Raw genomic sequence first — 23,420 nt, forward strand, 5'->3', positions numbered from 1 at the left:
CCCAGAGACTCCTAAGCAGAATCATGGATGTGTGGCATAAGCTTGAGAGCCATGCAGAGTGCAAAGCTGTGATTGCAGAACATGCCTGCACTTTAAGGGACAGGTCTGGAGCTACTTAATGCTAGTGGCACCCCCACAGTACCCCGACAACTAAAAACCACCCCACACATTTACTGTGCCCTCCTTAAGAGGCGACACCACTTGTGTTGAGAACCATTTGCCAGAGGGAAAGCCGGATTTGGGCTAAGCGAAAATCTCGCCAGTGCCATGTGATGTTTACATACATCGTTTTATTGAATCCTGACAACATTTCTGTGAAGTTTGCTCAGGGAACTAAAGTTCTTAGAAGCTAAGTTGCTGGCCCAAGGTTACCTGGAGAGTCCACAGCAGATTCAGGATTCAAACCCAGGCCCCAGGGAACCTAGGACTCCAGGTAGGACTCCAGGCTTGTCCCACCATGCAGTTCTTCCTTCCTGACTATGCTGGACAGGGGACCCTGGGTTTTTCCCTCCCACGTGGAAAGGGGGTGCTTGCCAGAGAAGGGAGGGGTCATCACTGCTATGGATGTGGCTATTTTGGAGGGACAGGTAGGAGGAGGAGAACCCTCACCAGCCCCTAGATTTAATCCCCAGCTGTCTCTTGGGCCCGTGGCATCTCTTCACAAAGAACCAGGAGGTAGATCCAAGGGGCTCCTCCCCAGGCATGAAATGTTTCCTCTAAGAACTTATGGCTTCTCCACCATCAGGTTTACTCCCAGGAAAGGGACTGATGATGTCACATATAATCTTGGGTATCCAGCCCAGCAGGGATGCAGCCAAGCCACCTGGCACAAAAACTCAATCGGGTTTGAAAGAAAAATCCAAACTTCCATGGGAAGAAAGCCCTCCTTCCACCAGCCCCTCCCTCCGAGCTAAGCTGAACCGTTTTGCACTTGCACTTGGAAGAGTGGCCAGTTGATGAGGGACATTTGAAGCTCTGGAATCAAATGTATCAGTTCAGTTAAAAAAAAAAAAGCGGGAAATAATTTTGATGGTAGGCTACCTTTTGCATAAAAAAAACAGGAGATAATATGTTTGATGATTTACATAACTAATTTGCACTAAGAATCTCTGAGAAAATACTCAAGAAACTAGATGATCTACAGGAGGTGGTGACTAGGCAGATAAGGGCTGTGGTGGGAGAGACTTTTGACCATAAGCCTTTTTATGGTTTTTTTTCTCTCTTTTTAAGCCATGTGAATGTATTACCTCTCCAAAAATATTAAAGTTTTAAAAAGTTTTGGATGCTGAAAAAAAAAATGAATGAAGTTCAACTGAATTCCCCTGCTCCCCTCTTACCCCCTCTCCCCTCTCCATACGTCTCAGATGATGAGGTCACCGTTGGCAAGTTCTACGCCACGTTCCTGATCCAGGAGTACTTCCGGAAGTTCAAGAAGCGCAAAGAGCAGGGCCTTGTGGGCAAGCCCTCCCAGAGGAACGCGCTGTCTCTGCAGGTGAGGGCCTGGGGGCGGGCCCACACTCCAGGAAGGTCCTGGTCATTGCCTCTGACCTCCAGTCAGGGTCCCGGTCCCTCCCCAGCAGGCTGGAGGCCAGGTCCCTGCAGAGGGAACCTTTCAGAGAGCTCCAGACCTTTCCAAAGATGGCTGTGAGAAGGGGGTGATGTGCCCTTCCCTACCTGCCACCCACCGACTGCCCTCCATGGTTCTGCCTGCTGTCATAGCCCCCAGATCTCTCAAATACTTCACTGAGGCTCCCGTGACAGCCCCTGACCCCTGGTGCCCCGTCCTAATGAGCCTTCATCCCTCCTGGATGGGCGAGTGGATTGTTCCATCAGAGGGCAGCCCAGCCCCCAGTTCACACACACACAAACCTTCCGGAGGGTCGACTGGCTGGGTGGAGGATGCCAGGGCCCTGGAGGGACAGGTCTTGGCCCGAGGCTGTGGCTGGCTGGGGAGCTTGGAGGAAAGGGAGCGTGGTCCTCACCATCCTCCCCTTGGATTCCAGGCTGGCTTGCGCACACTGCATGACATCGGGCCTGAGATCCGACGGGCCATCTCTGGAGATCTCACCGCTGAGGAGGAGCTGGACAAGGCCATGAAGGAGGCTGTGTCCGCTGCTTCTGAAGATGACATCTTCAGGGTGGGTGGTGCCATGGCGCACTCTCGACCCCTATAAAGTTCAGTTTGGAGCAAGAGGTTGGGCTGGGGTTTTGCGGGGAACGTCCAGGGGAAGGAGCTGCACCAGAGGAAAGGGCTACTTCCAGGCTCTTCCTGATGAGCTGTCTCCTCACCCCTTTGCCTTTTCCAAGCCTGACTCCATCCCAAGGCAGGGCTCCCTGGAAACAGCAGCTCTCAGTGTCACTGGCTCTCAGAGAAGCGGGAAGGAACCGCCTTCCTAAGGGAAATGTTTCCTAGGAGAAACTTCTGCATTAGAAGTTGCAGAGTGGTCACCCCTGGGGCACATCTAATCTGCAGGCTTGTTTTGTTTGTTAATATTTGAAAATCAAGACTTCTGGCATTCTTTGGAAAAGTCAGGAGACCTGGTAATATTAAGCTTGCATTCCCACAGGGCAGCAGAGGGCCGGAGCCTAGAGGCGGTGGCCCTTTGAGATGGAGCATAGCGTGTGTTCTCCAGGTCTCCAAGACCCCTCCAGAACTCCCCTTTCCCTCTCCTTTCCTGGAGACTGAAGCTGCCCAGCAGTTGCAATAGTGAAAATTAAAACGGCTGTACCAGAATAAGGGGCGTTTATCACTCATTTGTGTTGCCTGCCTCACCACGCTGGTGTTTGGTTACAAATCCTTCTATAGCAAGGGAGAAGCTGCCAGCCATAATTGTGCAGGACCCTGCTCACACCGCTCTCTCCCGGCCGCGGGCCCAGTTCCCAGGCTGTGGAACACACAGGGGGCAAGCTGAGCCCATCCTGCCCCTGCTCCGTCTCTTCCTCATCCTTATTCTTGTCACTGGGAGACATTCGTCACTGAGTGGCCTCAGGGACATGGCATGGTGGTGACACAACCCGACAAGACACCAGAAACCAAAGCCTCAGTCACCAAGGCCCAGGGATGCTCTGATGTCAAGGGTTGGAACAACCGTGCAAATAGCTACTTGCCCACTTCCCCAGGACAAGGAAAAGAATACTGGGGAAAAACATTGGCTCCTGGTTTTAAATCTCTCTGAGTCCCCGAGGGGAAAAAGACCATCATGCAGGAAATTCTTCATTTTCAAAACCGTTTGGCCAACCAGCTTTTAGCTCTGTGAGCACACTGGGTTTCCATTTTTTAAATCTGGTTAGAATCTTCTGGTCGCTCTCCCAGCCCCCGCCCTCACGGTGTGCTGGCTGCTCTTAGGGACCACCATCCTAGACGTGCCCTGGAAACTCACTCCCAGCCTTCAGGGGCTTCACTGGAAACCTCCAGGGCAGCTCGTACCAGCGGCAGCCCCTTGCCCAATCCCATCCCCACTGGTGGGTGGGTTCTCCCAGCTGCTGCAGAGGGGAGTCCAGAGCCTTGAGACTCCGGGTCCCTCCCTCTCTGGAGCAGCCAGGCATGAAGAAGGTCCTCAGGTGCTCCTGGCTCCCAGCAGGGCTGTGCCTACCCGAAAGAAGGCAGCCCGCCTTCCCAGGCCCTGCACTTCCCTGACCTGGCTGTGGAGGCTGCTCTCTGGGAGGAGTGGGTGCTAAGGGGCTTCTCCACCCACCCCTCCTTCTTGCCTACAGAGGGCCGGTGGCCTGTTCGGCAACCACGTCAGCTACTACCAAAGCGACGGCCGGAGCGCCTTCCCCCAGACCTTCACCACTCAGCGCCCGCTGCACATCAACAAGGCGGGCAGCAGCCAGGGCGACACTGAGTCGCCATCCCACGAGAAGCTGGTGGACTCCACCTTCACCCCGAGCAGCTACTCGTCCACCGGCTCCAACGCCAACATCAACAACGCCAACAACACCGCCCTGGGTCGCCTCCCTCGCCCCGCCGGCTACCCCAGCACGGTCAGCACTGTGGAGGGCCACGGGCCCCCCTTGTCCCCTGCCATCCGGGTGCAGGAGGTGGCGTGGAAGCTCAGCTCCAACAGGTAAGTGGGAGGCTGGCCACCCCAGGCGGCACACAGGGCCCACGTGCTGCAACCCTCAGGAGACAGTGGAGGAGACGGAGGCCTCGGCCAGCCACTTGTCCCTCAAGCTTCCAGGAGGTTGCTGCCCCAGACTCCAGCAAGAGCAGGAGGCACTATGCTGTCTCCCAAGTCCTGCCCTTGATCAGACCTGGCAGGCTCAGGGCAAGTCAGCAGTGGCCTGCGGCGCTGGTTCTCCCACAGGGCCCTCTCCTCTCCCACACTTCCTGAGTGGCAGAATGTGATCATCAGATGTTTGTGTTCCGGCTTCACAACAGAAACCATCCCGTCTGCCCTTCCCCGAGTCTCTGCCCAAACCTGGCCTTTCTCCCAGCCGAGATGGGAATGGTGTTTCCATTGCTTCCCTGGAGCCCCTTTGCCAGCCTCCCGGAGAGGGCATCCCCTGTGGGAGGCGCCATCTGTAGCACTGGCCCATTCTGCCCAGCACAGGATCATTCCTGGAGGTCTTGACTGTACCTCTTACTCCTGACTCACTCTTTTCTCCTTGTCCTCTCATCCCTGTGCTCTAGGATGCACTGCTGTGACATGCTGGATGGTGGGACCTTCCCTCCCGCCCTGGGCCCCCGCAGGGCTCCTCCCTGTCTGCATCAGCAGCTCCAGGGTTCCCTGGCGGGGCTGAGAGAGGACACACCCTGCATCGTGCCTGGCCACGCTTCACTGTGCTGCTCTTCCAGAGTAGGAGAGTGGCTCCCAGCAGGCTGCACAGCCCCCCAGCATGCCAGGTTCTTGACATGCTCGCCCTCCAGCTCAGAAAATAATAGAGAAGTAGCAGCTTCCCTCTAAACCCCTGGAAAAGTGTCCATCCAAGGAGCAGGCACACCTGCCGCTGGCCTGCCTGTCCCTGCAGAGGGCCCATTTCAAGAGGGCTGCATGCAAGCCCATGGGACTCAGGCATTTAATTGTGTCAGACGACAGGCCAGTTAAAAGGACCATCTCCCTGTCTGCTTTCCTTTCTGCAAGGTTGGCTGGTTTAGCCACCCAGAAGCAGCACTGGGGGCATCCTTCAATTCATGAGGCCTGCACTGCTGCCTTCTGTGTGCACAGGGCAGTGTGCTGGGCACTGGATTTTATGTGCCGGCCTGAAGGGCTGGCTTTGCATAGGAGAGGATCTAATCTAGGCATCTAGTCTTGGGGGCCTGCACCTGTTGTGGGGGCCTCATCCTTCTCTGCAACCTCACTCCCCTTCCACGGCCTTTGAGGACCCAAGTACTGGGTCCCCATACCCCCTTCTCCCCTCTGGCCTCATGAAGCTTCTGCTTAAGGAGGGCTCCACGTCCGTCTTTAGCATCTCAGGGTGAACTAATTCCCCACCCTCTAAGGGCATTTTCATGTGAAGCTTTGTTCTCTGTGACATAAGGGGAGAGGGATGTTTAGAGGAGCTGGGGGAGGAGACCCCAGGGGATTTCCTTGTCCCCACAGATATATCTCTCCACATAGCAAAATACATGCAAAGCACCCGGCACAGTGCCCAGCACACAGTCGGTGCTCATGAAATGTCGGTTCCCTCTGCCCACTGCAGATGGTACAAACAACACACAGGGCATCAAGCTTCAGCTTGGTGAAGAGGAGGAGCATAGCCCACGTCCCAGCTCCCTTGTCCCCGTGTCACAGCTCAAGGCTAACGGCAGCTCTAGTGCCAGCATTGCTTGTGCTGAGGATGGGCCAGCACGTCCTGTGCCCGGTGGCCCCCAAAAGTGCTGCTGCCTGCCTGCTGCTGCTCTGCGTCTCCAGCTCCTCCCTCCGTGCTTCACCAAAGCCCACTCCACCTCCCTCCCCTCCCAGTCCTCCTGGAGCTCCCACCTCTCATCTTTCCTTCCACTGCGGGGCGGGTGGCAGTCTGCAGTCCTCCTCCTCGAGAGAGAGAATTGCTTCTACCCTGCCTGGGATGCTCAGAGCCAGGGCACTGATTTAGCACTCGGCTCTGAGAGGATGGACCAGGATCTTTCTCTGATGCCCTCAGGGGTCTGAGGATAAAGTGGGCCCAGCATGCAAGGTCTATAGAAAGCAAGACAAAGGGAGGCACTGAGCTGAGCTCAGACAGGAAAAGGAAGAGGCCTTGGTCCAGAGCTAAAGATGACCTGACCCTGTCCCAGCAGGGAAAGGCACGTTCCGATGTGTGAGGATCTGGAGCTCAGGAGGGATTCAGGCTCAGCAGGGACTCAGGCTCACTGCCTTCTGCTCAGGAGAGCAAACCCCTCTAGGTGAGGCTTCCTCTCTGTGCCTTTACCCCAGGGTGCCAGTGTCAGAATCAAGGGCACCATCAAAATAAGAGGCCAAGGACTTCTCAGCTATGCCAAATGCCAAAGACCCAGGTGTCATAGCTGGAGGTGAGTGGGGGGCAGCCTCTAAGTTAGGCAGGGCATATGTCATTCCAATTTCATAGGGAAACTGAGGCATGAGGTGGACCAAGTGACTTGGACCAGAGGGTAAGTGGATTGGGGTCAGGACTCCTGGATCCACAGCAGACATCCTTCTCCCAAATGGGACCCTCACCCTAATCTGAACACTTCTATGGATCCATCAGCAATCACAGGAGAACAAAGCACCAGCAACTGTATGCCTGTTCACGTGTGTGTGCTTGTGTTTGTGCACGTGTGTACACCTGCATGTGTGTGCGTGTGTGATGCTTTACTTGCTGAAGGAAGTGGAGGAAGGTTGGCAGTTTCTGATGTTTTTCTTCATCTTGGATATTGTAGGTGCCACTCCCGGGAGAGCCAGGCAGCCATGGCGGGTCAGGAGGAGACGTCTCAGGATGAGACCTATGAAGTGAAGATGAACCATGACACGGAGGCCTGCAGTGAGCCCAGCCTGCTCTCCACAGAGATGTGAGCTCTGCTGCCCTCTGCTGAGGCTGACCCAAGTGTGGGAACAAATGTGGGGAGGCAGAGGCAGGTCCCTGAGATCCCTCCTCTGGGGCTGATTGCAGGAGGAGAGGAGATCACAGAGAAAACATCTGCACCGCCTCTTTCATCTCCTCAGTGAAATGGGAGCCCCCCAACACACAACACACACAAACACACACACACCACACACACACACAGACACACACAACACACACATACACGATGCCCTTTTTAGCTTGGGGTTTCCTCGCCAGGAAAATTTCTGAACATTGTTTTATAAACATTGTAGGCTGTAAGACACAGTCATAAATATATTTTCTGGTGAGACTCAGTATGCACATACATATATAGATAATTAAACAAGTGTTTCAAGACACTGCTTATAATGAAGCTGCCCAGAAGAGGGCACTGGTGGCAAAGCCAGGCCTGAGATTTTTGTCCTTGCTGCCATTCTTAGAGTATTTTTAGCTGCAGTTCTAGATCCTTTAGAAGGTGGTGACATCCATTTGGTCACTAATGACTAGCCCTTAAAAGCAGGTGCAGCACAGCACAATATCAGAAACTATCAGAATGCGTCAAACGTCACAAAGGTAAGCGCTGTGCTGGGAAACACTTGCTTAATTGCCAACAGATGTGGCTATCTGGGGGTCTCCTTGAGAAACATCTTTATGACTCTGAGTCACATCCACAGAAGTTTGAGACACAGAGTGACATCCACAGAAGTTTGAGACACAGTGTTTCCGAAGCTTTTCTGGCTCTTTTCACCCTCAAAGCCCTGTCTCATCTGTTACTGTATACATGACTCACAACAGGCCTCTGAGACAGAGAGGGCATATGTCATTTCAATTTTGTAGAAAGGGAAATTGAGGCATGGGGTTTTCCCCAGGGGGTAATGCCTGGGTCCCATGGGCTTGCGTGCAGCCACTTGAAAATGGGCCCTCTGGAGGGACAGGCAGGCCAGCGGCAGGTGTGCCTGCTCCTTGGATGGACACTTTTCCAGGGGTTTAGAGAGAAGCTCCCACTTCTCTATTATTTTCTGAGCTGGAGGGCAGGCATGTCAAGAACCTGGGATGCTGGGGGGCTGTGCCACCTGCTGGGAGCCACTGTCCCACTCTGGAACGGCAGCACAGTGAAGCGTGGCCAGGCACGATGCAGGGTGTGTCCTCTCTCAGCCCCGCCAGGGAACCCTGGAGCTGCCGATGCAGACAGGGAGGAGCCCCACGGGGGCCCAGGGCGGGAGGGAAGCCCTCACCGACCCCTCCCAGCATGTCAGTCCATTCAGTTCCTGAAAGGACTTCAGAGTGAGGAAGGACTAGCCTTGCAGGCTTTTGAAGACAGGAAAGGTGTGGCTGGAGGTGGTGGGAGGGGACACCAGGTGCCCCACCCTGAGGAGTGTGGGGAGAATGGCAGCCAGGCCAGCACAGCATGCGGCTTCCTGGGGTCCAGTGCTTTCTGCTCGGGAACTGGATGGGAAGAGTAGCAGAAGCACCTCCTTTTCCCCAGCATAGAAAGAAGAATCGAGTGAGTAAGGAAAAGCATGGAAAGAGTCCCAACCAGCGGCACTTGACAAATCACTCAACTGCCCTGTGCCTTCGTGTCCCCATCAGCAAAATGGGACGGTGGGGGTGACAGGCCTTCTACTTTTCTGACTCAGTGAAACACGGTCAATATAAAAAAGGGAAATACCTGAAGCTCCTTATGAGATAACTGTCTCTAAATTGATTCTTAGAGAATACAAACGAATGCCTGACCACCTACCCTAGAAATCAGGAAGAGCATATATTTTAAACTATTTCGGTTATTCTAGAGTGCTTGGTGCACCAGGCACTCTGCTAGGTTGTTAAGAACCCAGTCTCCATCCTCAAGGAAATTCCACAAACTAGGAAACTAAGAGGGTCTCAGGAGAGGAAGATAACACAGAGTTTCTCACTACCCCCAGAGTGGTACAACCCCCAGGGGTACAGGCGTTCAGAGAAAGTTGAGGGCAGGGTGACCTGAACTGGTACCACGCACAAGGTGAAATGGAAGCTGGATCTGCAAGAGCCAGGGTGATTTGCATAAGAAGAAAATACAATAGGGAGGCCTTAGCTAGCTGAGAGTAAGAGCTAGTCTTGAAGGTATAAATACTGCGGTCTGCACTCTACCAGCCTTCCTGCACATCTATAAATCATCCAAGTCTCTGTGCTGTACCATGAGCAGGCATGGAGTCACCCTCAGAGGTGTGGGGTGGCACCAGGGACCAGTGAGTCAGTGGTCTCATCTGGGAATGAGGTTGGAATGCAGCTGTGCTTCTTGAACTGCAGGCTGACCCAGCAGAGATTGTGAATCAAAATTTTAATAAAAATAGAACAGACTAAAGTGGACTGGGACTCACCAGGGTGCAACGCATGCACCGAGGGTAACCAAAGGCTATGAGGTTTCATTCCATCAGGTGTGTCTGTGCATGATGAGAAGCTGTCAAATCTACTTCTCATCGAGTTTCCATCAAAGGCCTGGAAGCCATAGACTAGATGCCCCATGAGGTCCCTCACAGCCCTGCTGTTCACCTACTGAGTGACCGTAGAGTGGTTGTAGGCAGCTGCTTATGTGCTCTTGCTGATGAGGGGGTGGCAGGGCGGGAGAAATCGGGGGACGGGCATAAGTTTGGGTGAAAGTTGAGGGTCACTGGGGAAAACAGCATCAGCTCATGCAAACACGGGAGCCAAGGCCATTCCCCAAAAGAACTTCATGGGCCTAGGATTCTTTCCGCTTTCTCAACACCTTTGACCCCAGAGTGCCTTCACTGCCCCAAGTCAGAACTGCAGGCTTATGAGACAGGCTGCGGGTGAGGAGCTGGCCATTCCCACTGAGCAGGCCTGGAAGACGTCAGGGGCAGGCCAGAACTTCTTGGGGTGGCAATTCCCCAAACCTGCATGTAAGCACAAAGTGTGCGTCCCTTCACTAAGGATCAGAGCAAAGTGCTTTCCGGGGGTGCAGCTGTCCCTGTGGGTGGCCACTTCTCAGCCTCCAGGAACAAGCCCCATGAGCTCTCTGTTCCAGGCTCTCCTACCAGGATGACGAAAATCGGCAACTGACGCTCCCAGAGGAGGACAAGAGGGACATCCGGCAATCTCCGAAGAGGGGTTTCCTCCGCTCTGCCTCACTAGGTAAATGCACCGCTCGCTCTCTGGATGTGGTCGGCGGTTACTCCCTAGAGAACACTGGTCAGGGATGATTGGGAAATCGTTGTGGCCTGCCTCAAATCAGCCCCACACAGTGGGGCATTTCCAAAGCAAGGAGACAACATTCCAAAGGCAGGGTGTGCAGGGATGAGCCCTGGACACCAGAATACGTCTCAGACGAGGGGAGGGGAAAGGAGGAGCGTCTCGGGCCATAGTTACTGCTCCTGGCACCCCACCAGGGTGTAAACTGTCACAGGCCAGTGCCCTGTTTTCCTGCCCTGATGGTGGCTCTCTGGCTGGCTTTGCAGGTCGAAGGGCCTCCTTCCACCTGGAATGTCTGAAGCGACAGAAGGACCGAGGGGGAGACATCTCTCAGAAGACAGTCCTGCCCTTGCATCTGGTTCATCATCAGGTAGCTCACACTTTTGGACAGGCCACTGTCACCTGCCAGCAGGCCAGACAGTCCCCAGGGTGACGGACAAATCCTGAAGACTTCAGTGGGTCTTGCCTGTCTCAGATGGCTGGCACGTCCTGCCCCTGCCCTAAGAGCCATCCCTGTAGGGCTTCACACTCCTGTGCAGGTGAGGGCCACGGCAAGGTCTGCAGCATCGCAGGTGGGGGCCTAGGAAGTGCTGGTGCACAGGAGCTCTTTGTGTGATCCTGAGGACCCACAGCTGCAGGTTCCACCTGAGCTTTCTTCTTAGGCTGCCACAGATGCCACTGACGCCTCTGACACTGGCCTATGCCTCAGGGCACTCAGGAAGATGTACTTGTACCTAGAGTTTGAATATACCTGGAAATTTTGCCACACAAAAATCCATCCAGTGACATAAAGAAGTGATTAAAGAACCCACCAGCAACATGGTCAAGAGTAGGGAATGACATCCGTGGGAAGCAGGTCCAGGGAGATTCCATAAATGAAATGTCTCTTGGCATGGCTGACTCCAGCTGAGACAGTGAAATCCAAGATGCCAGGACCAAACATGCCTTAGTATCTTTGAACTTCAGTGTTATCTAAGGCCAGTCTATTAACCCCAGGCAAACTGAGGTCTAAACCTGGGTTTCCCAACATTCTGACCTTATTAAAGTTATACTCTTTTATAGCATGGACCTATGTTTTAAATAGACCTATGCTTTGTACCCAAAGGCATTCAACTGCCAATCAAAAGTCATAATCAGCATGAGATGGCCAGTGTGGCCTGGCTGAGTTGATAGTACTTCAGCTCCAAAAAATAAACAGGTTTTCTTAGCCTGTGTGGTGTTGTCTTCCACTGGGCTTTCTGAAATAATGAATATGGCCTTACACTTTTCTCAGATTCCCAGGGACCCAGGAGCCCCAGGCTGAGGACCACCATGGGCAGGGGCAGGAGGTGGAAGGATGTGGGGACACTGTGTGTGCTATCTTAAAAGATTTCTAGAAGTCGATTTCACCTATCTGTTCTTGTCGTACTGGTAGGCACGAAACTCTCCTCTTCATCTCTTTCTCCTCCTGTACTCTGTGACCCTAGAGGTGGTCTTTCCCCACCACAGTGTCGCTCTCTCCCGGGAGCACATCCCATCAGAGCAGCTCACCCTGCAGAGCCTCTGCCCTGGCAGGTTGTCATGGCAACAGCCAGACAGGCCTGGTCCCTACCCTCAGGATGCTCAAGAATATTCAGGGACAGAGGGCGTACCGTGTGACTTTTTTTTTTTTTTTTTTGAGACAGAGTTTTGCTCTTGTTGCCCAGGCTGGAGTGCAATGGCACGATCTCGGCTCACCACAACCTCCACCTCCCGGGTTCAAGTGATTCTCCTGCCTCAGCCTCCCAAGTAGCTGGGATTACAGGCATGCACCACCATGCCTGGCTAATTTTGCATTTGTAGTAGAGACTGGGTTACTCCGTGTTGGTCAGGCTGGTCTTGAACTCCCGACCTCAGGTGATCTGCCCGCCTTGGCCTCCCAAAGTCCTGGGATTACAGGCATGAGCCACTGCTCCCAGCCCTGAATCTTTTAATCACAATACAGCACCGGATTTAACAATGGCTCAAAGACAACCTGAGCTAGAGACTGGCAGGGCATTATGAATGGCCCCATTAACTGTGAGAACTAAAACCACAAATACTGGTTTTCCCAACTCTTTGTGAGGTGCACAGCGCTTCTTCACAGACCTCATTGCGCTTGAGCCTCACACCAGCCCCACAGGGCAGATGGATAGACAGCATTCGTTTTCTGGCTTTACAGACATGCAGGCCTCACCCTGCTCTCCATTCTATTGAGGACAAAACCAAGAGCGAGAGAATGCACAGCTGACAGGTGACCAGGCCAGGGCTAAAAGCAGGTTACCACGACTTCACCCAATCCCAGCTTTCAGAAGTTACAGGAGAAAGAGATCACTTCAGACCCAGATGATCCTAAGATGTATTTTGAGATAGTTGAAAGTCATGCCAGGTTGAGATAGGACCGACAGGGGAAAATAATGGCATGGGAATACCAGGCAGGTGGAGCTAGCTGGACACAGCAGCTGCAAAGCAGTGCTTGCTCAGAAGCAGGGGCCTGCCTTGTTTGGGGTCGGCCACTCCTATTAACTCACACTCCTTGTGTGTCCGCAGGCATTGGCAGTGGCAGGCCTGAGCCCCCTCCTCCAGAGAAGCCATTCCCCTGCCTCATTCCCTAGGCCTTTTGCCACCCCACCAGCCACACCTGGCAGCCGAGGCTGGCCCCCACAGCCCGTCCCCACCCTGCGGCTTGAGGGGGTCGAGTCCAGTGAGAAACTCAACAGCAGCTTCCCATCCATCCACTGCGGCTCCTGGGCTGAGACCACCCCCGGTGGCGGGGGCAGCAGCGCCGCCCGGAGAGTCCGGCCCGTCTCCCTCATGGTGCCCAGCCAGGCTGGGGCCCCAGGGAGGCAGTTCCACGGCAGTGCCAGCAGCCTGGTGGAAGCGGTAGGTGACTCGCAGATGGGCAGGGGGGAGAGGCCACGGGCAACAAGGGGACTTGGCATGCGGGGCTGAGAAGGGAGCACCTGGCTCTTGCCAAATTCATTGCAGTCAATATCTGAGCCCGAAAGACCCTCCCTCTCAGGGCTGCAGGAGGGCTCGTGTGCGGAAAGCCATGACTGCACAAGATGCTATGGGCTCTCTTGAGGCTGGGCCCACTGCAGAGGGCGGCAGAAACCACTGAGCAACTTATCCCTTATACTGCAGCTGCTCGACATGCAAATGTGAGCCTGGCTGCCTTTATACACAGACAGGCAAGATCCAAGGTGCTCAGGCCTGACTGCCCGTGAGCATCACCTGGGGAGCTTTGGAAACCCGGGACAGATTAACTGATGATTGTTAAAGCTCTTCGATGATTTTAACGTGTAGCAAGGTTGAGAGCCACTAGCCTAGAACAAGCGAGCTTTCAGTCCCACTGTGCTCTGCCTGGTCAGAGCATCTAGTGCAATCCCGGCACCACATTATTAGGGACCTTTGACACACTGGAACAAACCCAACAGAGGATGACCAGGATGGCAAGGTTCCTAGAAACCATTTCCTAGGAGAACCGTTTCAGGGAATTCGGGAAGAAAACCTGGAGAGGAGGTGACTTTGGAGGGTGCGATACACCTCTCACACCTGCAACGGGTGGGATGGGGAAAGGGTGGCAGGCTCAGCCCACCAGCGGACAGATTTCAGCTCACATGGGGAAGACCTTCCCAAATGAGCTCTTCCAAGATGAGAGGGGCTTGCCTGAAAGGTAGTGAGCCCCCCATCATCAGACATAGCCAAGCAGAGACTGTGCTCATCCGGGCGTCAGGCTGTGGTGCAGGAGGTGGGGCGTTAAACCAGGTGGCTTCCAAGGTTTACCTCTCAAAGTCTGGTATTCCTGTGGCCTCGATCATCCTGCATTCATTTCACAGACCTTCCCTGAGCGCCTACCATGTGCAGGCCCTGTTCTAGGTACAGGGACACAGCTGAGAAACAGAGCTTCTGCTCTCATGAGCTCACATCATGGTGAGGAGAGACAGATAATAAACACATACATATATAACACATCAGGAAGGTCAGGAGTGCCAAAGAAAAACTAAGCAGGGCAAGGAGAGAATGAGTGGCGTGGGCAAGGAGCAAGACAAACAGATGCCTGAAAGGAGCGAGTGCCAGGCTGCACTCAGCTTCCCCCGACCCGCTGGCTCAGGAGCCGATTTTCCCATAGCCAGGCACTAAGCAGCCGGTAGGGAGGACAGAGAAGCTTAAGGGTCACCTGCTGGCCCTTCCCAGCAGAAGCAAGGCAGGGGCATGCGCCGTGTTTGCACAGATACCTCACCCCTGGAAAGGCAGCAGCAGGCAATGGGCAGTGGGCCTGTCTCAGCAGTTTCACCAGGGAGAATGGTTTCTCTGAAAGAATAGTATAAAGGTTCAGTGGGTGTCAGAAAGGAGAGAGGCAGGCTGGGATCTGCTGATACAGCATCAGGGCAACCCCCCGGCCCCTCTGAGAGCCAAACCTTCTCTGGTTTTTGTTTTGGTTGTTTTTTGAGACAGGGTCTCGCTCTGTCACCCAGGCTGGAGTGTAGTGGTACAATCACAGCTCAGTGCAGCCTGGCGCTGCTGGGGTCAAATGATCCTCCCACCTCAGTCTCTGGCCTTGCTAAGATCACAGGTGTGCATCACCACACCCAGCTAATTATTCTTAAATTTTTTGTAGAGACGAAGTTTCCCTGTGTTGCCTGGGCCTGGTCTCGAACTCCTGGGCTCAAGCAGTCCTTCTGCCTGGGCTTCCCAAAGTGCTGGGTGACAGGTGTGAGCCACCGTGCTGGGCCATAAGCAAGTCTTCATATATTTGATGACAGTGTTTGACCACCCCAGCCAAAACTTCTCTGGCCTGCACATCCCTAATTCTGGCAGATGCTCCATCTCCACTTGTTCCCCATGGGTGCCCCTCCCAACACACACACGTACACGTGCACACACGCACACTTCCCCAAGTGACCTACCAGATACCCCCTCGCTCTAGCCCTCAAGGGAAGAGCTGGGCTCCAGGAGTAATGTTCCTTTGGTTCTTCATGGCTCCCACCCCGCTCCTTCAGGTCTTGATTTCAGAAGGACTGGGGCAGTTTGCTCAAGATCCCAAGTTCATCGAGGTCACCACCCAGGAGCTGGCCGACGCCTGCGACATGACCATAGAGGAGATGGAGAGCGCGGCCGACAACATCCTCAGCGGGGGCGCCCCACAGAGCCCCAATGGCGCCCTCTTACCCTTTGTGAACTGCAGGGACGCGGGGCAGGACCGAGCCGGGGGCGAAGAGGACGCGGGCTGTGTGCGCGCGCGGGGTCGACCGAGTGAGGAGGAGCTCCAGGACAGCAGGGTCTACGTCAGCAGCCTGTAGTGGGCGCTGCCAGATGCGGGCTTTTTTTTATTTGTTTCAATGTTCCTAATGGGTTCGTTTCAGAAGTGCCTCACTGTTCTCGTGACCTGGAGTTAACCGGAACAGCGTCTTCATTCATTTCTGTTGGGACCAGACGCGGAGCCTGGGTGCGCGAGCCGCCCTCCGGGAGGAAGGCGCCCGGCTGCGTCTGCAGAGGCGGGGAGAGGAGGCGGCGAGGGTCCCGGGGCGCGAGGAAGGCGCCTGCCCTCTCCCAGCTCGCAGGCCCCGGGCCCGGCCGCGCCTCCGCGGGGAGAGCACCCCGGCTTCCCGCGCGCCCTCACCAAAAGGACCCTACAGCAAACGGGTGTCTTTCGACTCTGCTTGTAGAAACCATTTGCACATATTCTGTACGAGCCTCGCTGTCTCCCTAGAGCCAGGGCCCTGCGGATTTGGAGAAGGGAGCGGGGCAGGACTTCCAGGAGGACCCCAACCCGGCCCGGAGAGGGAGGAGGAGGCCTCCAGGGGCGCGGAGCTCTGGGGATGGGCGTCGGGCCGGCAGTGGTGCGGCTCACTCCGTCCCTGCCCACCTGCGACGGGATCCCCCGACCGGCACGGGCCACGCCGAGCTCCCGGCCAGCCGCCGGCCCGCAGGCAGCGCGAGGGAGGAGCTGCGCCGCCGGCTCCGCCCAACCAGGTGGTGCTGAGCTTCCGCTGAGCGCTCTTTTGTTTTGTGGTTTGACACTTTTCTTGACAGCATGTTGCAGTTTCTTTTCGGTTTTGGTTTTTTTTAAATGTTTTATTTTGCTTTCCCAGCGGGAGGGGAGGAAGAAGAGTGTTTACAAAGTCCTGTAGCCCCCTCACCTTTCTGTTTTCACTTTTGCCAATGTACATCGGGTTTGGTTTTCTTGTATTATTTAAACGGTTGTGGTTTCCTTTTTCCACGGAGGTTCAATAGAAGCCGCTGCAGGAGAGTTTTACCAACCATTGTGTATGCCCAATAATTTGTTATCATTTCCTTAGGTAGTAACCTATTTTTGTTCTGGTTTGGTTCGGTTATCTAATGGAAAGGTAACTGGCAATGCACTTGATGTGGTCTTGCACATGTGGGTGATAGAGTTGGGTTCCTTTTTATGCTGGGTGTACAGGTGGGTTTGGGAGAGAGGAGCATGCGCGAGAGAGTCTCCGAGTGTGTGCGACGCGTGTGTGTGTGGTGGGTTGTCTGTGTGCATATGTCCTGCCCGTGTATATGCACCCACACCATGTGCCCGTGCACACCAGTGACTACGCAGTCCCCCCTTTCTGGTTTAGCTGTGGGAAGATCTGAATCTGGGGCCGTTTGAAAGCAAAAACAAACCACTGTCTCTGCTTCTGAAACGGGAATCAGTAACTCTTTGCATTTTCTGTCCCACAAGATATGCAAAAACAATGCAATAATATTCATTTAAAAATACAATTGTGAGTTGTGTTGGCATTAAAACTGTATTTTAAAAAAAGACAGAAATTTAAGGGAAAAACACAAGAAGGCATTTTGCTTCAATATATTCCGTGTAATGTTTTATTGCATTGATAATGTTTCTGTTGAAGAAACCGTTATACTTGAATTCAGGTCAGTTTCAGTATTTTTCAAATATTTTTTTAAAACTGAATTGCAATTGTGCCAAGCGAATATAATGAATTGAATTAAGTTGGTTTTCGGATTCACTTCTTGTATATTTTGCTGCATGTAAAGTAAATCATTTTGTATTTGGAGTGTGACAAGCTTTACCTTTGAACTCAAGTGCTTTTCTATATGTGGTTGGGGGAAAGGGAACAAGTTTTCTTTAGTTTGCACAATGAGCAAAGGTATCACCAGTGTAGTCATTATTCTGCTCTCCACAAACAGGTTTGGACATTACTGTTTTGCATATCTTGTGTTTGCTTACATTTCCCTCAATTTTTCCAAAATCGTTTGCTGGGTATGTTTGTACCGCCTCTTGCTGTGAGAGACCAGGACCTATTTTATTCCAGTCTTCACTCTGTCCACTCTGCTCTGGTCATCTGATTTGGTACTTCTCCAAGAACAGCCCTTCACTGTGAGGTGCAGGGAGGCGTTCTGATGAGCCCTCAGTCACTGGGCCGTCATCCGCATCCCCCATGGAAGAGGTAGCTGGCTTTCCCTTCCCTTCCACCACACGGAATTTTCTCTTTGGCTTCCTTAGGAAAGTGTACACTAACCGGGAGGATAAAATTAAAGTCAGGCTGCTTGGAGGGAGGGGCATCCTCACTTCCGGATTCTTGTTGCTCTACCCAACAAGGACAGCAGGGGCTCGAGAAAGGAACTGGTGAAACCCTGATCCATCTGAAAGTCAACTCTGCGTGCTCCTTTCTCCATCCCTTCCTCACTCTGGAGCAGCCTTTCCTTCAGGCTTGCCCTAATGTTTGGGCTGCCGGGGAGGGGGCCAGGACAAGGGAAGAGGCATCCGGAGCTCACAGTGGGGGTGGGAACAGATTTTTGTGGGGGCATCTCTAATGCTCACTTATATCTCCCTAGAACATCACTCTTTTGGTGCTGTGTCCTTCAAATGTATGTCAACAGTGGTGGCTGAAAAGGGACTGCTTTGGGGAAAACAGGACCCAACCATTCACCCAGAATTGACCCATTAAATCTCTTCCAGTCCTAGTGTTCCCTGAGCCCCTCTTGGCACATATATAAGTAAGCTAGAAATTACAATAAGGGACAGTCCATTCCTCTATGACAGCTTGCTGGACTGATTCATGACAAAGTGGAGAAATGTACTCAATACTCCCCGGTTAACACAGTCTAGAAACAGAGTTTCTTTATGGATATCCACACCCAAGTCATCCAAACTTTCTTGATTCCTTTTCACTGCCATCAAGGTCCTCTAGAAATTGAGTTTAGGTATCATCCTTTGAAAAGTTCCCAAGATTTCTACCAGGAGGTACACACAGGCGTTCCCTGTCTAGGGCAGGAGGACTATCCTAGCTTGACCTTCTGATCCACTAGAATAAGACTGGCGTATGATGCCTGTCATCAGAACAGACTGGCACAAGTAGTGACATCAATGAACCACAGCACAATCTTCCAAGTGATGTCTACTCTCCACCTAAAATGGAATTTTCCCCATGACCTTGTAAAACATAATTGTCACATCTTCCATACCCCTCCTGACAGCCCCCAAGTGTCAGGAGAAAACAGTCAGGGGCTAAGGGCCCAAGGGACTTGAAGAAACAACAGTTTAAGGTCTGCAGTTTGGTCAACTTAATTCTTGTCCTCCGACCAGCCCTGCCTCTTTCATTTCCAGACCTTGGAGAATTTTTCCCAGCTTTGATTCAGAAGGTACTAGTTATAACCCCTTTCCTTCTTCTTAATCCAATAGGCCTCACTCTCACTGGGAAATCCACTCAAAGGAACAAGGCAATGTCTCTCATTCTATTTCCCAGTTCCAAATTCCAGGTGCTTGTCTGGAGTGAAGCTACCCGTTACTTTCTCCCAGCTTTTCTCCACCCAGCATGTCTCCTGCCCATGCAGCTGAAGACAGTGGGGCAACCTCAGGAGAAGCAGACCTTTCCATGCCCAAGTTCATCTCCTGAGCAACAGTGACACCTAGAAAATGAGGACTTTGGAAGTCACCCAAAAGATGGTGGCTACTTTATGGAGTCCTGAAGATACACAGCCACCACTCCTAAAGGCAAAGAAAGAAAACACGAATGTAGGTCAGGGATAGAGTGGAACCCTGGTCATCGGGGTTTTTAGCCTCATCGTGGGAAAGGTGGTAAAGGAGGATGATGGCATCTCCATCCCTAGAGGCCAAGAATTGAAATATCATTGTCAAGGATTAGAAACAATTCAGCAAAGAGGCCACAAAAAGGGCCTGCTGACTCCCAGAAGACCTCTTTAAACCCCAGGGGAGGCAAATACTTGCTGATGGAGTCTGGGCCGTTTCCATATTTTAAAGAAGACCTGCCTCTGGGGCAAATGTCAGCACAGAGAGGACTGGGAGGAGAATGGAGGCAAGAAAAGGGCATATTTTGACTCCCTCTGTGCCTCTTCCCAGTTCATGGAAGGATGTGTTCAGCTTACCCACCCACAGTGACCAGTGTGGTGGAGCCGCTGACATCTCAAGGATCTATTTGGGAAGGTGAGAAGAGTACTCATTCCATCTGGGGGTGTTGTTCCAGCCACATCAGCCTACCTGGTGGGATGTGGGGGTGTCTGCCACCCTGTCCCCCCTCTGCTGATGTCCCTCCCCTCAGGCTGTCCAGGTGCCACCTGACACAGGCTGCTGTGCAAAGACAGGCGGGGAAGCCCAAACCTCACTCCCAGGGAGGCCCTCAGCCGCCAGAGTCCAGGTTCTCCAGAGGCTACGATTTGAGGAGGTTGAGGGGGAAGACAGGAGGGAAAGAAAAGTCCTACAACTGTCAGGAATGGGGCACCTTTCCCTGTCCCTAAGCAAAGCTCCCTCTTCCCACTGCCCTCCCCAGCCCCAGCTCCCTGTCCTCCCCAACACCTAGTGAGAAAGACGGTGCGTGGAAGGGAGTCCCATGGGCAGATGCTTACACGACCTCTTTGTGAAGCCTCTTCTGGGTTTAACTTCATTCATCAATTTATTCTTATGTCAAAGCAATGAAACTTTTCTTTCTGGAGCCAGATACCAATACAACAGGTGAACGGGTTTCTGCCACATCTCTACATTGACGGGGGATGCTTGAACAACCCCCCTCACTACACAGACACACACCGTTAAGGCACAAGGGCTGGGGTTGAGCTCTAGATGAGGGACTTTCCTGCTCCTGCAAGGGTGAGCACTGTATACACAGACAAGGAGGGTGCAGTAGAGTGACTCCCTTGGATGGAAGTAGTACCATCAGAACCTACTATTATTATGACATAAATTCTATTTACATACATTGAGAGAATACTACAATCAACACTTTTTCCTGGGATGACTTTAAGAGGTTTGAGCCACAGCACCTGAAGTGGCAAAGATCCATGGTCTTTGTAGGGTATTAGAGAACTCTTCCAGTCACCTCTGAAAGCACTCTAGATCTTGCAGCTGAGTGGATGAAGTGTAACAAATCTGTTGCACGCTGAGAGGAGTCAGAATTAGCATTTTTCATGAAAGTTCCCCACGTCTCTACTAAGAATGAGGAAGAAAAGACTAAGACTAGGTAATTACACAGAGGCTTGAAATGTTACATCACCAGAGCCAAGTCCTCTCCCTTCAGATCAGTTACTGGCTGCTACACAGGGACACCCCCACCTTTTCAGGGCATCCCATGCACTCCACTTCTCAGGATCTAAGGAATTTGACTTTGTAGGGATCCCAGAAAGGGCACTGTGCCACTTCCCCTGGTGTGAATCAGACATACATTGTACATTCATTTCTAAAATTCACTCATGCACCTCAAACCAAGGTCATTATCCAAAAAAAAAAAAAAAAAGCTCTGGGTGGAAGAGTTTGTAAGTTTTAAGAGAGGGTCATTTCTATGTGAGGAAATGCAGAAATGGACAGAATGATTCTTATTCACTGTTTGGGTCTGGAGAATTCCCATTGTGGAAATCTTAGAGATCTCAAGTTTATTACCAAGGGAATAAGGAAAAAAAGGTGAGCAGGCACCAGGCCAAGCAGTGGCTCCCTTGCCAAGGAACCTGAGGCTGCAGGTTTCAGGGACCCCCTTGAAGAAACCTCTCCTGGCCATTGGCCAGGAGAAAAGAGAAGTCTCTCCTGTAGAGTCACAAGAGAAGCAAAAGAGGGTGGGTCACTGGGTCCTGGACATAGCCCCCAACCCCAAGACTTCCCAATATGGAGAAACTACACCAATGTTTAAAAGGGGAAAAGGAAAGAACTTGTACATCAAGGGAAGATGATTTGTAAACACACAGTCCTGTGCAGAAAGATCCCCTTCAGGAGGTGTCTCCAGCATCCCAAAGCTGTGCGCACCTTCTCTTTTCCTGCCTCAGGCCACCTATGCATCCAGCTGCAGCCCATACCCACACCTGAAATCCATCTCTTGAATCCCAGCCAGGTTATATACCACCCCATTGCCATGTCCTGTCCTGGCCAGAATGCATGCTGTTCCCCCAAGCCTCGTGGGAGTGAGGCCATGGGAAACAGAGATGAGCATGTCTGGACAAGTCTGTGATGGTAGTGGATGAGAATAACCCATGGCAAAACACGCACATTCATTAAGAAATAGGGCGACAGATTCCCCGTTGGTGAAGCACTGAAAGGTCTATTACTCTCATAATATTGCTGTTTTATTTTAATCCACCAGAGCTACCATGCAAAACTTTCCTCCTGTGAAACGCTCCAGATAAAGCTCCTCTAATCTCCCCTTCCCTCATGTCCTCCAGCTCAAACCCACCTTCATCCCCCAAACCAATCTGTATCATGCCTGTTATCAGAGAGGCACAGAAAGATGGGCAGTGCCTCCGTTGTCACCATTCCCCACACCCCTACACACCCCCACACCCTCCCCTCCAGGCTCCACGACTTCACAGTCTTACTGTTGTAAATATCATTGTACAGTTTGTAATCCTCAAATAATCCCATTGTCAGAGGCCTCGCCTGATGGGCCTTCTCACCCTCGAGAAAGGCCAGGGAATCTAGAAGGGGCAACCCTTCAAGGAGAGCTTCAGGGTCATCTCTGTGTGAGACACTATTGTATATTCCTGTAAGATTGCATTTTTATCTAAGGAATGATGTTATTTAAAAAACAAACAAAAAACACAAAAAATAAGAATTGCAAATAAATTTCTTAACAATGTCTACATTGACTTCATTGTATCTTCCCTCTTCCTTATTTCTTCCTTTCTCCTGTTTCCTAGAGGTCACAAATACAAACTTCACTCAGTTATCTCAACTGTCTGGGATCCCCAAAAGGAAGAAGACTGGAGAGAACACAGGAAATATGAATCCAATGATAATACCTAAGTCCATTCAGCAGTTAACCCATCCCCTATTTCTTCCTTCTCATGAAAGAGTTGACAGAAAAATGGCCAAAAGTTAAAAAGGAGACAAAATCAGAGGAATTAAATGGCTAATTCACATGGATTAGACAGGAAAAGCAGTCTCTGAAATTGGTTTTGAAAGGACAGAAGGGAAGAGGGATGGAATGTAGGAGAGAAGAAAGGAGGGGGAGATATGATAATATATAAAGTACTATGAGGACTATACAAATGTAAGATTGCTTTTCTTTTTTTTTGTTATTATAACTTAATCTGATTTCGATAAACCTTTCAGAATAACCCCTTAAGTAAAAATAATTTGTCCCAGAGGATTCTGGGAAGATGGCAGAGTAAGGAGCACCAAGAATCCTCCCCGATAGACAACAAATACACTGGCAGAATCTGTTTTGTTTAACTATTAATATTTTGAAACTCTGGAGTCTAATGAAGGTTTGCAACTTTCAGGGGGAGGCTTGGACAGTAAATCAAGGTTGATTTTGGTCAATTTCAGCTCTTAGTACAGTAGCAGCTAACCCACTCTCCTCCCCTAGCCCACTTTCTACTCCTGGAAGGGTGAGCACTGCATAGACAGGCATGAAGAGATAACCAGTGTGACTTCCTTGGGTGGAAATAGTACCAGCAGAACCTATTATTATTATGAGAAAGTACTATTTATCTCATAATACAGGCAGCTGAGCACTTGTCCAATAGCACCTTGCACACAGCGTGTAGAGGCCAGAGTGGGCTAAAAATATCCTGTTCTTCAAATTTCAGGGATCTTTGTTCAGGATACTTATTGCTGCTTCTAATCACAGAGGTGCAAACACAGAGGTGGGCAGCTACTTTTGTTGCACCTCTCCCCACTGCTGCAAGCCCCTCCACCACTAGCTGAAGTGATTCCAGATAATTTGAAGAACCAGCACCCTTCTTCCCCCTTCACTTTTCTCTTTTTCCTTCTTTGGGAGACAGACATTAAAGACTAAGACACTCAAAAGCAACTGCATATACAAGGAAAATTAGAA

The 23,420-nt window shown here is 51.9% G+C and overlaps 1 protein-coding gene and 1 long non-coding RNA gene across 57 annotated transcripts in view, besides 3 other annotated features; one reads left to right on the forward strand and one right to left on the reverse strand.

Moving 5' to 3' along the window:
* CACNA1C (calcium voltage-gated channel subunit alpha1 C) overlaps positions 1-22,221 on the forward strand; it is a 727,171-nt gene extending 704,950 nt beyond the window's left edge. For 48 of the 56 annotated variants that reach the window (XM_017019934.3, XM_017019946.3, XM_017019943.3 and 45 more), the window contains 8 exons: positions 1,365-1,492; positions 2,004-2,138; positions 3,715-4,067; positions 6,821-6,949; positions 10,007-10,113; positions 10,437-10,540; positions 12,718-13,050; positions 15,171-22,221. In XM_017019934.3, coding sequence (XP_016875423.1) covers positions 1,365-1,492; positions 2,004-2,138; positions 3,715-4,067; positions 6,821-6,949; positions 10,007-10,113; positions 10,437-10,540; positions 12,718-13,050; positions 15,171-15,470 — 1,589 coding nt within the window. In that variant the 3' untranslated portion in view covers positions 15,471-22,221. Of the gene's footprint in view, positions 1-1,364; positions 1,493-2,003; positions 2,139-3,714; positions 4,068-4,633; positions 4,847-6,220; positions 6,326-6,820; positions 6,950-10,006; positions 10,114-10,436; positions 10,541-12,717; positions 13,051-15,170 lie in introns of all 56 variants that reach the window. The other 8 variants (XM_017019932.3, XM_017019927.3, XM_047429513.1 and 5 more) reach the window with 3 other exon arrangements.
* CACNA1C-AS1 (CACNA1C antisense RNA 1) lies at positions 272-15,428 on the reverse strand. Its single transcript, NR_045725.1, has 4 exons — positions 15,340-15,428; positions 15,078-15,250; positions 14,411-14,481; positions 272-2,168 (listed from the first exon to the last, which is right to left on the reverse strand). It is a non-coding gene; the product is annotated as a CACNA1C antisense RNA 1 (long non-coding RNA).
* Positions 1,308-1,809: an enhancer, noted in NCBI's record as "H3K4me1 hESC enhancer chr12:2786203-2786704 (GRCh37/hg19 assembly coordinates)". NCBI's record gives its function as "activates a minimal SCP1, AML or CMV promoter by ChIP-STARR-seq in naive H9 embryonic stem cells {active_cell/tissue: H9 hESC(naive)}" and the evidence as "EXISTENCE:reporter gene assay evidence [ECO:0000049][PMID:30033119]".
* Positions 3,287-4,250: an enhancer, noted in NCBI's record as "H3K27ac-H3K4me1 hESC enhancer chr12:2788182-2789145 (GRCh37/hg19 assembly coordinates)". NCBI's record gives its function as "activates a minimal SCP1, AML or CMV promoter by ChIP-STARR-seq in primed H9 embryonic stem cells {active_cell/tissue: H9 hESC(primed)}" and the evidence as "EXISTENCE:reporter gene assay evidence [ECO:0000049][PMID:30033119]".
* Positions 15,888-16,157: a silencer, noted in NCBI's record as "silent region_4129". NCBI's record gives its function as "represses an Ori minimal core promoter by ATAC-STARR-seq in GM12878 lymphoblastoid cells {active_cell/tissue: GM12878}" and the evidence as "EXISTENCE:reporter gene assay evidence [ECO:0000049][PMID:35858748]".

This window comes from Homo sapiens, chromosome 12 (assembly GCF_000001405.40).
Source record: "Homo sapiens chromosome 12, GRCh38.p14 Primary Assembly".
NCBI classification, from domain to species: domain Eukaryota; kingdom Metazoa; phylum Chordata; class Mammalia; order Primates; family Hominidae; genus Homo; species Homo sapiens.